Here is a 15,451-nt window from a genome sequence, read left to right as displayed (position 1 = left end):
AAGTCTGCCATTGCACCTAGCTCTAGTTATTAGCATAATCTTGATTTATTTGAGTCCGGGACTTTGGGGCCCTGGCTGATTTGGAGGGGAAGTGGGGGACGCAGGAAGCTGGGACTACTTTCTTTCAGGCCTTTTTTCAAATGGGTTACCAGCACAATGTAAAAATAATTTTATATTAACCCTGGTATAAGATTTAAAAATTGAAACGAATCATTATCTTGAAAAGAAGCCTTTTAGCTCCAAAAAATTATTGGCTTTTTTTCCAGAAGGCATATTATGCAGTTTCTTTTGTCCATTAAGCTATTCTTTGCAAATCAATTGGACAGAGGACATTTTTTAATTTCAGAAATTAATTATCACATGTAATAACTGAACCATTCTTTATTTTTTCTTGATACCCATTCAGTTAAATAAAAGACATGTGAGCTAGTCTATGAAATAGAATAAAGATTATGAATAAAATTAAAATATTCTAAAAGACAGTATTTTTTATGTTAAAAAAGTGTTGAAATTTATTCCATAAGGATGTTCATATTTTGAGGAAGGGGAAACTAGTCAAATTATACATATTTGGCAAGTGAAAATGGTGTAAGGCAATCACTGAGAGTTTTAGATTGTTAGTATTTGTTAATGAATCTGGCTTAACTCTAAATGCTGCAGCCAACATGGTAAAGTGCTATGAAAAAAGAAGGGTCTTCTTTCACCACCTTCTGTGAAGATGAAAGTCAATTTAATTCAATTTGTAGGTATTTAATGGGTGGCTCTGAGCACCAGGGACTGGGCTTAGGCCTGGCCTGGGTGGAATCCCTGACCCTCAGGAGCTCCAGGCCCAGGAGGGGGACATGTTGGCAACACCCGCCATTTGCAGTCCAGGGGATGCAGGCTGCGCTGGAAAGAGAGCATGCAGGAAGGAGCCTGTGAGATTGAAGGAATCAGGGGAGGCCTCCCTGGAGGACATGACCTTGGAAGATAGGAGTCAGCCAGGTGGGCAAGAGATGCAGGGCATCACAGACACAGGAAGGGCCAGCAGAGCACTTCTTTGGAGCAGGGATATGGAGGGGAGGAGAGGTCAACCTAGAGAGGGTCCCCAACATGCTCTACTGAGCCAAACAGTTTTATAACAAGAGCCTGGAGTGCTCTGCAGGGTTTAGGCCAGAGAGGGATACGTGCAGCCCAGTAGCCCAGAGAACATGGGTTGGAGGGGAGCCAGCTGAGGTTGACCACAGATTCTCAGTGGAAGGACAGTGCATGTCTCAAATTCTTCTCGCTTTGTGACAATAGTCACCAACGTTTATGAAGACCCTTGCAGGCAGGAGTGCAGAGCAGAGAAGAGACTGGAGCTTCGGCACTTGGCAAGACCTCCCTGAAAGGCTGGCTTGCCCACTGCCAACTTTGGGCGGGTTTCCTGACCTCTTGAAGCCTCAGTGTTTTCCCCAGTGAACTGGGCATGATGAAACTACTTTCCAGGATTGGAGAAGGTGTATAGGATGTGATTGGCAGAGGGGCTGGCACATTGCAAGTGCCTTGTAAATGATACTTGACTTTTATTAAAGGGAAAATGATTCACATCATAAAAGCTCGAGATCAAGCCAGGCCCCTGCATATAATCTCATGGCAACTCCAAACCATCTTATAGCATCTGGTTATGTATATTTTTATATGATTATACGATTAATGTCTGCTCCTTCTTCTAGCTCCACAAAGGCAGGACTGTGTCCTGCTGACAGCCCATGTGAACCTTGTCACCATGGTTCATGTGCATGGAAGGTGCTAGAAAATAGCCATCAAATGAAGGACAAGGAGAATGGCTGGGGACAGCTCTGCCAACATCTTCTTGCTTTGGTGATGACAGAACTAAAAAATGGTAAAGGAACCCAAATATTTCCCATAATACTGTGATTCTGGGACTGAAAACTTGTTTTGTAACGTACAGTTGAATTAGGGGCATTAGTGTCCTCATTCTAGCCAAGTGGGAGGACAAAGTAGTGGTTGACAGAACTGGCCTCTGAGTCAGAAAGACCTGGATTAGGGTTTCAGTTTCATCACCAACTTCTCTGCGCCTGCATTTGCTCATCTGCAGAATAGGGATGAGATGCTTTGTTTGCAGAGTCCTGAGGACTAAACAAGGCAACCTACTTAACACCCTTAGCACAAACTCAACTCCTGTTTTTAGGTGGTATTGATTATTGACTTTATGGATGAAAAATGTCTTTCAGATTCTGGTTCGCTGTTCTGTAGCACGGGAAAGACAAATAGTGGTTTCCATGTTTATTCTCTGCAGTAAAGAAAAATTATCCTGTATTCAGTTTTAAAGGTTTAAAAATCTCAAAAACAACAACTTCTCTGCATCTCTAAATTCACATCAAAATTTTTCAGTGTATTGACAGAAATTGTATATAGCTGTAATTAGTTAATACTATGTGCTGTTTTCAGGTTTTAGCATTGTTTGAATATATATGTGTGTATGTGTTTATGTATTTTTAGGAAGTAAATTAATTCATTCCTCTTTATACATAAATATAAAAATATTCATTTTTATACAAACATGGAAACAATGAGAGACTGAATGAGTTTGACTTCATTCCCATGCCAACCTAGTACTGGGTGCTGGGACTAAAATCCTGGTCTCTGGAGGGTTTTATGAGTAAGTTTGGTGTCGTTTAATTCTTTGTACAACGTCTTCCTGTTGCTTGTTTGTTCCTTCCTTCCCCCACTCATCAGCATGGGTCGAGGGCTCACCACCTGCAGCCAGAGGACTGCGTCAGGACTGTAGATACAAGGAGGTCCATGCACCGAAGGAGCTTGGGGCACGGGCAGAGCTTCTCAGAGGGGTGTGGGTATCAACCCTATGGTGTTTTGGAAATTTGGACTGACGTTTTTGTCATCATAAAATTGAGTGGGCAATGAAGATATTCCGTGGGCAGAGGCCAGTGTTGCTGGAGATCCCAGAATGCCTAAGAGTAATGCCTGGAGGAATGCCACCATGCTCCTCTCCACACTGTCCTCTGACAGCCAAAGGCTGTCCTGCCTCCTGCACGTCTGTCAGATGTCCCACCAGACAGTCACTGATAAGTGAGGAAGCTGGTTATAATTATCTAAGCCTCGTTCCCGAGTCTGTTTTATAATTAAACACAAAGGCACGTGTATGTGTGTGTTTATATGTTTCGTTTTATATTCATATAAGTATGTAAATGTTTAGTTTTTGGCTCTGAATTTTCCACCATGCAAATCAAGAGAAGATTGTATTTCATTGTGTTCAGGGTTTCATTAAGAGTTTTTCTTCTGTATGGGATGAATGTCATCCATGCTATCTGAATCACCTGAACAGGATGCTCTGTGGGGCCACACTGTGGGGCTCCTGCAGCACCCATGGGGTTCCACACAGGGGGCAAGTGCTGACCATGGCTGTGTGCCTTCTGGTAGTCAGTTGGAACATTTACTTGTTGATACATGTATATATTTTTATCACAAATTACTTTTGTTTTTCCTTTCTGTTACAGATAGGGCATTGTATTGATGGTGTTGTCATTGTTGAAATTATGTGCTTAGGTAGATTATCTCCGAATTTCATTTCTGGGAAGAAAAAAAGACGCTTTACAGAATATCTGTTATAAGAAGGGGCTGGAGGGTAAGGCATAGGGACCGCTGATATAGGGGACGGAGACAGGAAAACAGGTGGGTATCGTGCTGGAGAAATGGGTTGGAGGGCCCCTGCCTGGGAATGGAAGCAGAGACCCTGAATACAAATAGACTAAAGCAATTTAATATATTATTTTTATTTTAGTTTTTGAGACAGGATCTTGTGGTGTCACCCAGGCTGGCATATAGTGGCATGATCTCAGCTCACTTGTAACTTTCACCCCCTGGGCTCAGGAGATCCTCCTATCTCAGCCTCTCTAGGAGATGGGACTATAAACACATATTGCGATGCTTGGCTAATTTTTACTTTTTTTTTGGTTTCACCATGTTGCCCAGGCTGGTCTCAAACTCCTGAGCTCAAGCGATACTCCTGCCTTGGCCTCACAAAGTGCTGGGATTAAGGTGTGAGCCTCCGTGCCCAGCCAAAAGCACATTTACTTTAAAATGCTATTAGCATACATATTAACTAGAAAGAAAAATATCATAAGCATTCAAATCAAAATATCTTCCAGCTTGCATCGGGAAGTGGAAAGAGTTGTGTGTTCTGAAGTTGATGGTTCCTTAACTTCCACCCTGACTCTGAACCGTAGTTTCCACACCTGTAAAATAACTGGGTTGGGTTCAATCTTCTCTGGTGTCTTTCTTTGCTAAAATTTTATGAGTCATCGACAGCAGCTGTCTGATAGTAAATCTGTCTCATTTTTCTTATCATGAACTTCATAAAGAGGCATGGATTTTTTTCATGTTATTTTTCAGTAAAAAATTTAAAGACTACTTTTAAAATAAAAATTGGGCAGAAGGTGAAATAAAACCCTGTAATTCTATAAATCTGCAAGTTTGTGGAAATTTTACTTAGCGTATAACTGCTAGGTAGAGTTTAATGAAGATGTATGAGTTTCAAATCCATCTCTACCAATCATTAGCTGCATGACCTTGCTTAACTTCTTGTCTCAAAATGGGAACAATAATTATCCCTACCTCTAGTACTATGAGATTTAAATGAGATAATGCTTCCAAAACACTTAGAACCTACCATGCCATTCAGTTCTGAAAGATGAAAAAGTTTTAGAGATTGAATGCATAACAGTGGGAATATACTTAGCACTAGTCAACTGTACACTTAAAAATGCTTAAGATAGTACATTTTATGCCATTTGTTTTTTACTACAATTAAAAAAAAATGAATTGGCCAGGCATGGTGGCTCATGCCTAAAATCCCAGCACTTTGGGAGGCCAAGGCAGGAGAATCACTTGAGCCCTGGAGTTGAATGCCAGCCTAGGCAACACAGTGAGACCTCATCTCTACAACAAATTTAAAAATTAGCTGGGCATGCTGGTGCATGCCTGTGGTCCCAGCTACTTGGGAGGTTGAGTTAGGAGGCTCACTGAAGCCTGGGAGGTCAAGGCTGCAGCGAGCTGTTGTTATGCCACTGTACTCCAGGCTGGGTGACAGAGTGAGATGCTGTCTCAAAAATAAATAAATAAAATGAAAATAAAAATTGGATTGCAATACATGTATACAAATATATGTACTAAGTGCTTAATAAATATACTGCACCTATTATTTTACTACTTGTTTTTGTTTTCTGCTGGGCTCTCATGTCGCCCATACATTCCACAGACAAGGACCAAGTACTGGGCTAGGCTGGGGAAGTTAGAGAAGAACATTATTGCTGACCTCAGGAAGCTAAGGCTCTAGAAGGGGAGATAGGGGAGTAAACAGCTGCCATGGAAGGTGCCAAGTGCTACGGCAGGTATGTGACAGGCAGGATATGAGGATTCACCTTCAGCTGTCTGTGTGCCTATTGTGGGGAGAGCCCAAGGTGAAGGGTAAAGACAAAGTGGGGGAACCGCCAGGGGAGGCTTTCTACAGTGCCTGGGGCCTGAGCTCAGGCATGGAGGACACAGTGGAGCTGGCCAGGCTGAGATGGCACAATCTGGATTCTCTGACTTGATGATTGGGGAATGCTGGTTCCACATCTGCACTGAGATACTTATGATAAGGGTAAACAAAAATCCCTAAACAGGGGACGAGATGGTACCAGGAGTGAAAATGCACAACCTTGCTTGCCCAAGAAAGACCAAACCCCAATAACTGGAAAAACACATTCCTTCCCCTAAAGCCAAGGCTCCTCCATGCGAAGGGGAGGATGGTAAGGCCCCCTGTGTGCACTACACATGGTCTAGGCAGAGTGCTGTGTCCACCGCTTGCCCCTCCCCTGGGCCTGGCCTTCACACTGTCCAGGATCTGTTTAGGGGGGCAGCCCCATCTACTTGCAGTTCACCAGTCACATGCAGCAGCACAGACCCGTTCCCCTCCACCTGCCTGCCACCCACAGTGACAGGAGATGAGATGGGAAATAATGGGCCTTCCTCTTGCCTCCCACATGAGCATTTGAGTTAATTCGTATCTGGGCCTCATGACTCAACATATTATTTTGTGCATTTGCTTTATCACAGACTAGTGGTTCTAATAAAATTAGTGCTATTCCACATTATTGGTTCACAATTAGAATTACATGAACAAAACAGATACAATCTCACCCAGTCTTCTAGGGCTAAACCATGGAACTGACCGCAAAATTTCATCTTTTTTTTTCACCTCTGTAGTTTCATTTTCAGGTTTTTTTCAGCCCTTAAAAGAACAAGACCTATTTCAAATGGATTTTCCTACAGTTCTTAGGTAGGGTGAGTGTCTAATTCAGCACACAAACTGGGACAATCATGAGAGTGAAAGGCAGGCTATTAATAGTTAAGCAAGGACAATAGCATATGCCAGAGCTGCCACAGGCAAACTGTGACAGGTGGTCACCCTATTTTTAGGGGCAGGCTGACCCTCTTCAATAGTCATGAATTAGTCTTACTAAGCAATGCTGCTTTTTCTGATGGCTTTTTTTTAAAAAAAAAAAACAACACGTTAATTTGGGGCAATCATCTCAACACATTTGAGAAATTAAAAGGAGAAGCAAAGATATATTTACATCCAGACATATGTGATTGCTTGGGACTTCCTTTGATGTGAAACCTGCAAAGTATAAGGGGAAATCTGGGCTGGCATTTCTTTATGCTTGTGACCTGGATCAAAATATGAAAATGTACTTATTTTAACCCAAGGCACTGGAAATGTTGTACAAGTAGCACTAGAGTCTCTCTCCATTCCACAAAAGTCAGATTTGAGCAAAGGGAAAGTTCACCCTTTGGCTTGAAGACGGAATGTACATCAGTAAATATGAGACTGTTTTTCTAGGAAATAACGCTTATTTAGGAACATCCAGGTATTATCCAGAGAACCTGACCTTGACTCCAGGTTGATTCAAGTGAAACTGGCTGTCTAGTATTCCTGCCTTCAACGCTGCCATCTGCCATCCATCCGTTCCGTAATCTCCTCTAGCCAAAGAATGGTTTTCCATATGAAAACTTGAGATATTATGCTTTCGGTTTTGCCGGTGATCCTGAAACACGTGAACCTGAGGCAAAAAAAGTAAAGTGCTGTACCTTTGGTCCTTAAAGCAGCAGTGATTTCTCCAAATGCGAGGGCTGCATGTAAAAGCATGCCACCACCTCCCCCCTACCATGGCGCAGGTTTGCGTGAAGACCCACTGTGATAATATACAGGACGGGATAGACTTTGCTAACTGTAAAACACCACAACAATATGAGTTATTTTTCTTGTTTGAGTGTTTCCTGGATGGAGTTGAAATATTTTGACAATCACAGATTGAACTGTAGATATCTCAACCCGTGGATGATGAATTGTGTTTTAAAAAGGTGATGCTCCACTGAGTTGTAGGTTACATATTTCTCTGTCAGAAGCAGCCCACACTGAGCAAGGTAGAGAGTGGTCTCGAGTTAGGACATGTGTGGAGTCCTGGTGAGCTCTAGAGAATAAACGACTGCTAAGAAGGTAGACAACGAGATGGTGGGAAGGAAAAAAAAAGGAGGGAGGGAGTGGTGGGGGAAGAAGGGAGGTACAGGGAGGGAGGTGAAAAAGAAAGGAAGAAAAAGAAAAAAAAGAGAAAGAAATGAAAGGTTCAGCAAGGACTCATGATGATTTCAACAGCACAATTTGCAATTCATCCTAAGGCAGCTGGGGCACCCACTCATCCATGACCATCCAAGGGAAAATCTTATTAGAATGAGGTCGTCTTTCCCCTCAAAACAACCAAGACAGAAAATGGCAGGTGAATTGGAATTGCACTCCCACCTTGCAATGTGTGGATGAGATTTGATTTCTCTCCACCGTGTGTGGTGGGCCTCGGGCACCCAAGGCTGGCGTCCACACTGATGTAGACTGAAGACCCCAATAGGAAGATGGTTGAGGCCTGGGAACTGGGCACCTCCTACAAGGAACTGCTGATAAAACAAACCTTCGTTAGGGCACAGGTGATCATCTTTTATCAAAATTGTTCTCCCTCCTATCTCATAACAAGCCTGTCTGTGTTGTGTGTGCGTGCATGTGGAGGGTGGGTGCGTGCTGCTGAGTGGGTGCGTGCCTCCGTGTGTGTTTGATGTCTCATCTGGTGTGATTAAGGGAGAAAAGGGGTGGGGGGGCTGTTCTTTGTTTATTTTGCAGATAAATCTCATCTTTAATCTGGATGCACAGAAATGTCTCATGCAAAGGAAAGGAAGCCCCCTATGCCACCCCATGACATCCATATAAATCACAGGTTTTATTTCTCTGCTGTGAGGGGGCACTGCAGAATGGAGCAACGTTGCAGACTCTCATTGGGTGATGCTTCATTACTTGGTGGAAAATCCCCAGGGCCAAAACGTTATTTAAATGTGCTATGAAAATAAATGTGATTTATATATGTGTCGTCTGCTGAGACGTTCTTCTCTGTTACTGCAGGTGATGTCGTGCATCAGGATTAGCGCCTCAATTTATCGCCGGCTCAAGCTCCACACATGCTCCATGACAGGGTGTTGTCCGCATCCCCGAAAGTTCCAGGAAGGAGACAGTGTTTGCTGAGTGGTGGGCTTTAGATATTCAGCAGTGTGGTTGGCTTTTATGGGCTGAGAATGTGTGTGAGTGTGAGCGCATGCGTGCTCGTGCATGCTGGTGTTGGGCCTGGGGCACTGTGTTGTTTGAAAGGCGCAGGGAACAGACACTTTGTACTCAGATGCATCAATTTCCAACGGCAGCAGAATGCTGTTTCTGGTTGAAAGAGAAAGAAGAAAGCGAAATCTTCATTTCAGCTTAGGAATGGGGTCCACATGTTTAGCTCAAAGTGAGTGGAAATCTCTGAAAAGCAGGTTTGGGCTAATGAATGTCAGCAGGCCTTCAATGTAAATGGGATTTGATTAGCAGGAAGGAGTGTGGTTGGGATGTTTCCATTACCAAAGAATGATATAGAGGGGCAAGGCTTGTCTTAAGGGGATGAAGAAGGTCCCTCCAACTGCCCAAGTAGATCCTTTTCCAGTAGGCTTTCAGACGCTCAGAAAACATGGGGCTGACCTTGGCTTCTACCACATGCCATGGGGCACGAGACCATTGTTCCAGACAAGTAAACCTGAGGTGGGGGGAGGTGGCAGAGCTGCGACTGGACACCACGAATGAAATATTCTACAATACAAAACATGCCACATCAGTCCTCAACATTGCCTTGCCTCTATGCCCCTCATTTTAAAGATGACAAAACTGAGGACCACAGAGGTCAATATCCCAGAGTCTGGAACTCTTCATCCTTGGAGAATCCAGGTCTTCTGCTTCTGGAATCCTTCTTCTTTGGGCATTCTTTTAACTGGTAGCAACTCATGTCTTGCCAGTCTTGTCTCTGGCTCCCCTACTCTGTTTTTCTTCAAGATTAAGGGTTTAAATGATATCTAAAGTAGGACCTACCTAGAAAAAAGACCTACATAAAATTCCTTTTAGATTGATATGGGGAAGCAAACAAAGGAACTTACAAATATACTCTCTTAGGCTATTATTTTAAATAAGCAACGGTTGCTCAGGAGCACTAATGGGAAACCGTAAAAAAACCTTTTTATTTTGAAATAAATTCAAATCCACATAGAAATTTCAAAAATAGTGCCAAGAGTTCCTGTAAATTTTTCTTCAGCTTCCCTCACTTTACCGTGTTTGCTTTATCCTTCTCTCTCTCTCTCTCTCTGTGTGTGTGTGTGTGTGTGTGTGTGTGTGTGTGTGTGTTTTATTTCTTTTCTGAATGGCTTGGGAGTACACTGTACACATTCTACCACTTTATCCCTAAATACATCAGTACACATTTCCTAAATTCATTTACACAACCACAGTACAGTTATGAAATCCAAGAAATTAACATTGCTATAGTATTATTCTCTAATTTATAGACCTTGTTTGAACTTCAGTAAATGTCCTACTAATGTCCTTTCTAGCAAAAAAAAAAAATTGTTTTCCACTTACTTTGGGATTGTGTGAAACTCGTGTCTCATTTATGGGGACTTACGTGAGAGGGTTGAGTGTGCTGAAGTTTTAGGCTGTTAAACTAAAAAGTAAACATTACCTTAAAAATACGTGTATGTTATATCTATAGTATCTTCACCTTGATAATTCTTCTTTGATAATTATGATTAAATGTCATAATGGGAAAATTCAAAACCTTTATATCTGTGAACCAAAAAATAAAACCAGATTCTGCATTCCTCGTGCATTTCAATTTGGTGTAAGTCTCTTCAATATCTGCTTGCTTGCTAGCTGTGCCTTTCTACTTGCCTGCTCACAAGATTTCTGAAAGTCTTGGTGATGGTTTTGGCTCTGAATCCAGACTGAGTAAAACAAAAGTCCAAAGCGTGTTTTGGCAAAGTGTGGTTAGCAAGGGTGATTGGTCTACAAGTGCGTTTCAGTGATGCTCAGTTCCTGGAGGAATGTGATGCTGGAGGCGCCCCTCGTTATAGCCGCGAGGAGGTCATTGGCTCCTGTGATCACATTGTGTGTCCCAAGACCCAGGTAGAGCCAAGTCACGAAATGAGAAGACAACATTGCTGGAGGAGTTGATGTTTTCCACCGAGGAGGATTAGTGAAACACCTTTATAATGCTGGTGTTGACAGACGGGACTAACATGGCTTTTATAGGCTATCAACTGAGTTATATCAGGCTTCTCCTGTGGGTAGCAGTTATGTTTCAGCCGACATGATTTGACCTGTAGTTTATCCAAATCGGTGTAATAATAAGCTATGTTATAAGGGCGTTTACTTTGCCATATATGCTCAAATATAGTAAACTTGTTATAAAACCAAGCAAATAAGGGCTTCTGTTTCTCCCACTGGAGCCCAGTGAGGGTGTGAGAGTAATCGACTTGTTCCTCTCCAAGACATATCCATCCAGAAGGTCTGTAAAAGCTCTTTATTCCTCATAGGGAAATGATTTTAGTCTTAGGAAGGAAACACATGGCTTTCTTCTTACAGCTTCAAGCTCCGTCTTGCCAGCTGCATTTATTTCTCTTGGCCTGACACTAATGAAAGGAGACTTTGATGAGCTGTTTGAGTGGTCACTCCAGAGAGAGGGATGCAGAAAGTCTCGACTTTTTGGAAGGCGCTCCTTTCGAGAACGTTTCTGCCTTATCTCTAACACACATCCCAGAGAGACATCCTTGGCTTTTGATGAAAAGCTCATGGGGCCCGATTTACCTGCCAGAATGGTTTTCTGTGGTTTGGGCTTCTCGGAAAAGTGATCTTGGGAAGGTAAAGTAGCTCCCTCCTTCAGCCGCCTTGTGTATCTCCCAGTCCCTGCTGGGCTTGGTATACTTTAAAGAAAATTCCTGCCTTTTTTATTTAAACTTTTTTTTTTAAGGTGTTAGCAATCTGTCTTACGTTCTCCCACCCCTGCTGGGATTTATGATCCAGTTCGTATTTTACTACACGATCTTGGCAGGCTCCCCTCGTTGAAATTCAAACCGAAGCAACTCGATGGGGGAACAGACATAAAAATATTAATTTGGTAGATATTAAAAAAAATCACACTGGTTATAAATCAGGGGCTGTCCACTGGTTCCTTTCATCATCTAAATGGTCCTTCTAACCAGACTACAAATCTTACTGGAAAGCAGGAGGGGGTTTGGAAGGTGGGGGTCCCCTTCCTGAGGCTTTGGAGACAGCTTACATCCAACACTTCCTCAAACCTGGCTTTGTTTTCTAAAGGTAATAAAAAGTGAGTACTTCTGGTACAGGCAGGCTAATTAGCTGGACTCACAGAACAGACTTGGGGCTTATAAGAAAGTTGGCTTGGTCTGAAAGAAATCAGGTTGTGGAAATGTTAAATGTTGATTTAAAATAAAGTTGGGGAGACATAAGATGTGTGCTATGCTGTGGAGAAGGACTCACCTGCACTCATCGGCAGCAGAGCACTCAGTGATGCTCTGCAGTGGAGCACAAAAAAGGCAGGGGGCCCACTATGTTAGGAGGTGGTGTATGGAGAAGTGCTGATGCAGGGTCAAGGTGGTAAAGGCCAGGGGTAGCACACCATGGCATGTGTGTACCCATGACCGAACCTGAGGATGGGACAGTGTGCCTATGTCTCTACTGACACCTCCCGTGCCAGCCTCAGATTTTCACAGGGAGCCATAACTAGATAGAACCAGGGAAGGGAGGGCAGTTACATTCCTGTTGGGTAGAATTAAGAAAAAGTGGCAGAGAATTTCTCTTCCTGTAATGATATTTTAATGGACTCTTTCATTTCCATCTTACGGCTGATCTTTACCATTAAAAGACTCTTGATAGGTACTTTAAAGTTTCATGAAAACTTCAGGAATTGGTTTTAAAAAACTGTGGATGGCTGGAAGGCTAAATACTTCTATAAAGAGATGCTAATAAAAATAGAAAGCTGTCCTCATTATAAATAGCCTTATATGCAAAAAAGTATGTAGCCATGATGGAAAATTCATTAGTATTCTAGAAGTCCAAAGCTCCTTTTAGTGGCAAACATTTTAATAAAGCAACTGAACCCCAAATTCAACCCCACTAGGCCTATTGTTAAAGTGCATGATATCATGAAGCTCAAAGCACATCTACATCTTGAGATTTAAGGAGAAAGAAAATTCAGGAGCTGGAAAAGGGGCAACAAGTTTTCTGCAAAAATCAAAGCAAGTTCTTGATTCAGAATATTAACGTGACAGCAGGAAGAAAAAAGGCTGTAAACCAATGCTGTTTTTTTTTTAAGGGAAAATATTTCTAACTAACAATTGGTTCATATTATTTATCTGCCCTCTTCATAACAGCATTAAAGCAGGGGTCTCATTTCTGCCTGAACAGTATAATGATGAAAATTATTTCATCTTAAACAGAGATTTTTCTACTTGGTTACCACGCAATCTAATACTGACAGTGCCTTGGACTTGAAAAATGATATTCTCATCTCTGAGAAATAGAAGGCGGAAGAAGGCACAGTCATTCCGAGCTTTACTCTAAAGCAATTATGAGCTCTTCACAACTCTCAGACAAGAATTGATTTCTATTTTTAGATTATTAAGCTGTGGGTGCAAGGAAGTCAGAATATGTGACCTAGTTTTGACCTTCTAGATTGAATTCCTCTTGAATTGATTCAATATTGAAAAGGAAAACTTTTAAAATGCATTTCTGCCTTATATTCTCCCCCAAATTCCCTTTATTTCTTTCCCATCTTTACCAAAACCTTCATGTTCATAAAGACAGATGAATAAGTAGGATAGTGAATGTGGGGTATTCGAATAAAACATAAATACATCTGAATTAATGAATTAGTTGTCGTGTCCTAAAGAAACTCAGAAATAAGGAAAACCTCCAAGAGTTGATGATGTTATGTTTGATGTTTTTGTTGCCATCATCAATGTGCTCCCTTTCATGCATCCAGAGGGGTCTAGCAACTCACACTGTTGGCAGTCATATCACTAGTTGTTTTTGGAAATAGTGTTTACATATACATTTATGTCCTAAATTGGATTGCCCCAGGAAGCCTAGAAGGGTCCTCTGACTAGATTAAGGGCCCTTCCGAAGAGGCAGAAAGACCACTGCTTCCTTCTCTGAACCCTTCAAATAGCTCAGACGTGGTCAAATTGGGCCAACTTCCAATTTTAGTACTGTCTGGAGTGTAGACTTTGGAGCCCAGCAGCTTTCTCCCACCCCAACCTGGGCCATTGATAAGGCCAACACCCTCACTGTGCCTCAAGAACATGTATTCATCCCTGCCTTCCTTCACTTGGATTCTTCTATAGGATGTTCTCTCCTGCTGCTCCAGCTCTCAACTGTTCCCAGAATCTTCCATGTGCTTCCCCTGACCATCCACCTAAGCTTTTGCTCATGCTGCTCTCTTTGCAATCTCTCTTGCGTTTCTGGAAGGGCCTTTCTGGTTTGGCACTCAATAATGAGGCACTCTCTTCAACTGCGCCCATTTCAACCAGAGATAACCTCACTTCTTTGAGTCTCAGGTTTGCCGTTTCAAAACGATCACATATGCAGGGTTGTTGTGAAGATGAAATGGGACAGTGCACAAGGCCTGCCCACAGCATGTACTTAATAAAGAGCCCTGGCTTCTCCTTTCTTCCCAGGGGACCATGTTTCTCCTGTCTTTCTTTGCATCTGACAGTATTGTTACTGTTGAGTGGTTAAGCAAAAATTGAGCTGCTCTGCATTATTATACTTTATAATAGGCAGATGATACTTTTCATTAGTTTTTCAGAATGGAATGGTCAAAATGCTTGGGTAGGGACAAGCCTGGTCTGATGTAGACTGGCTAAGAGAAGCCATGCCTGAAAGAGAAGTAATGGAAAGTTAGCTACTCATGGCAGAACACTTCACAGTCCTGAATGCCAGGGTTAGAGGAACCTTGGAGAAGGGCCAATCCAAACTTCTCCTCTTCCCGGGTGCCTCCATTCTCTAGGATGAGCTGTGGCAGGGATCGGCCTCAGTAGTTGGATTTAAGCAATCACATATGCAGTAAGTAGGGAAATGAGATTAAGATAAGAACAAGGCCCCCTGGAGATGTTAATGCCTCCTCCTGGCAAAAATAAGGGGACTCTGGAGCAGATTAATTTTCTGAAAAGGGCTGTGACATTTCCATTGGAACTACTGAGCTGATTATTAACCCTAAACAAGAGCGGCAACTCCTCCCTGTGAAACGCTGGTCCTGAAGGGGTCTTCTGGGAGAGCAAAGCTTTAGAAAGAGATATCCCTACCAGCCTGTGAAGTGGGCACACAGCCAGCCCTGTGATGACACAAGAAAGAACCATCTCAGCTAAGCAGACCTCTTGCCAAAAGCAAAGACCAGAAACTTCAACTCATGTTTAACGTTTGTTGTGTTTGGTTTTAAGTGAAAGCAGACTAAAGTACGATGTGTGTGCATACATAAAGCCTATAACATTAGTACAGACAGCTGGCAAATCATTAATTAACAGCAGTGATGATCTTCAAATAGTGCTCTGGAGAGGCCAGAAAAAGAGGAAGTTCCCTGGACCTGGTTGCAGTTTCGCCCATGACCTGAATTCATCCTCATTAAAAAAAAACAAAAAAAAAGAGAGATGGGATGGAGAAAGGAGAAACAGCCACGTAGATGCCACCTTAACACCTTCTACCCCTCTTCTCTCCTCACCGAGAGAGAACAGTGAACGAGCCACACCACCCCTCTGTCTGCAAGGCGTCCCCCAAACCAGACAGACGCCAAATGAGCTGTGGGCACATGAGGCTGTGCCCAGCACAGGATAATTGTGCCATAAATATAATTAAAGTCAGCAGGAGGACCATCATGGAGAAAACCAAACTTAAAAAAAAAATTAGTACTACTGAAGAAAATATCATACATTCTTTTTATTTCAGTCTAATTTTGTTTACATGATTCATACAGTTTCCAAGAGTATCCCTGGAGAA

The 15,451-nt window shown here is 42.5% G+C and overlaps 1 annotated feature.

The window, feature by feature from the left end:
* Positions 10,066-13,607: an enhancer, noted in NCBI's record as "VISTA enhancer hs1465". NCBI's record gives its function as "enhancer in: somite[9/9] | limb[9/9]" and the evidence as "EXISTENCE:transgenic organism evidence [ECO:0001131][PMID:17130149]".

Source organism: Homo sapiens, chromosome 7 (genome assembly GCF_000001405.40).
Source record: "Homo sapiens chromosome 7, GRCh38.p14 Primary Assembly".
NCBI lineage: Eukaryota > Metazoa > Chordata > Mammalia > Primates > Hominidae > Homo > Homo sapiens.
This window is presented reverse-complemented; position numbering and strand designations above follow the sequence as displayed.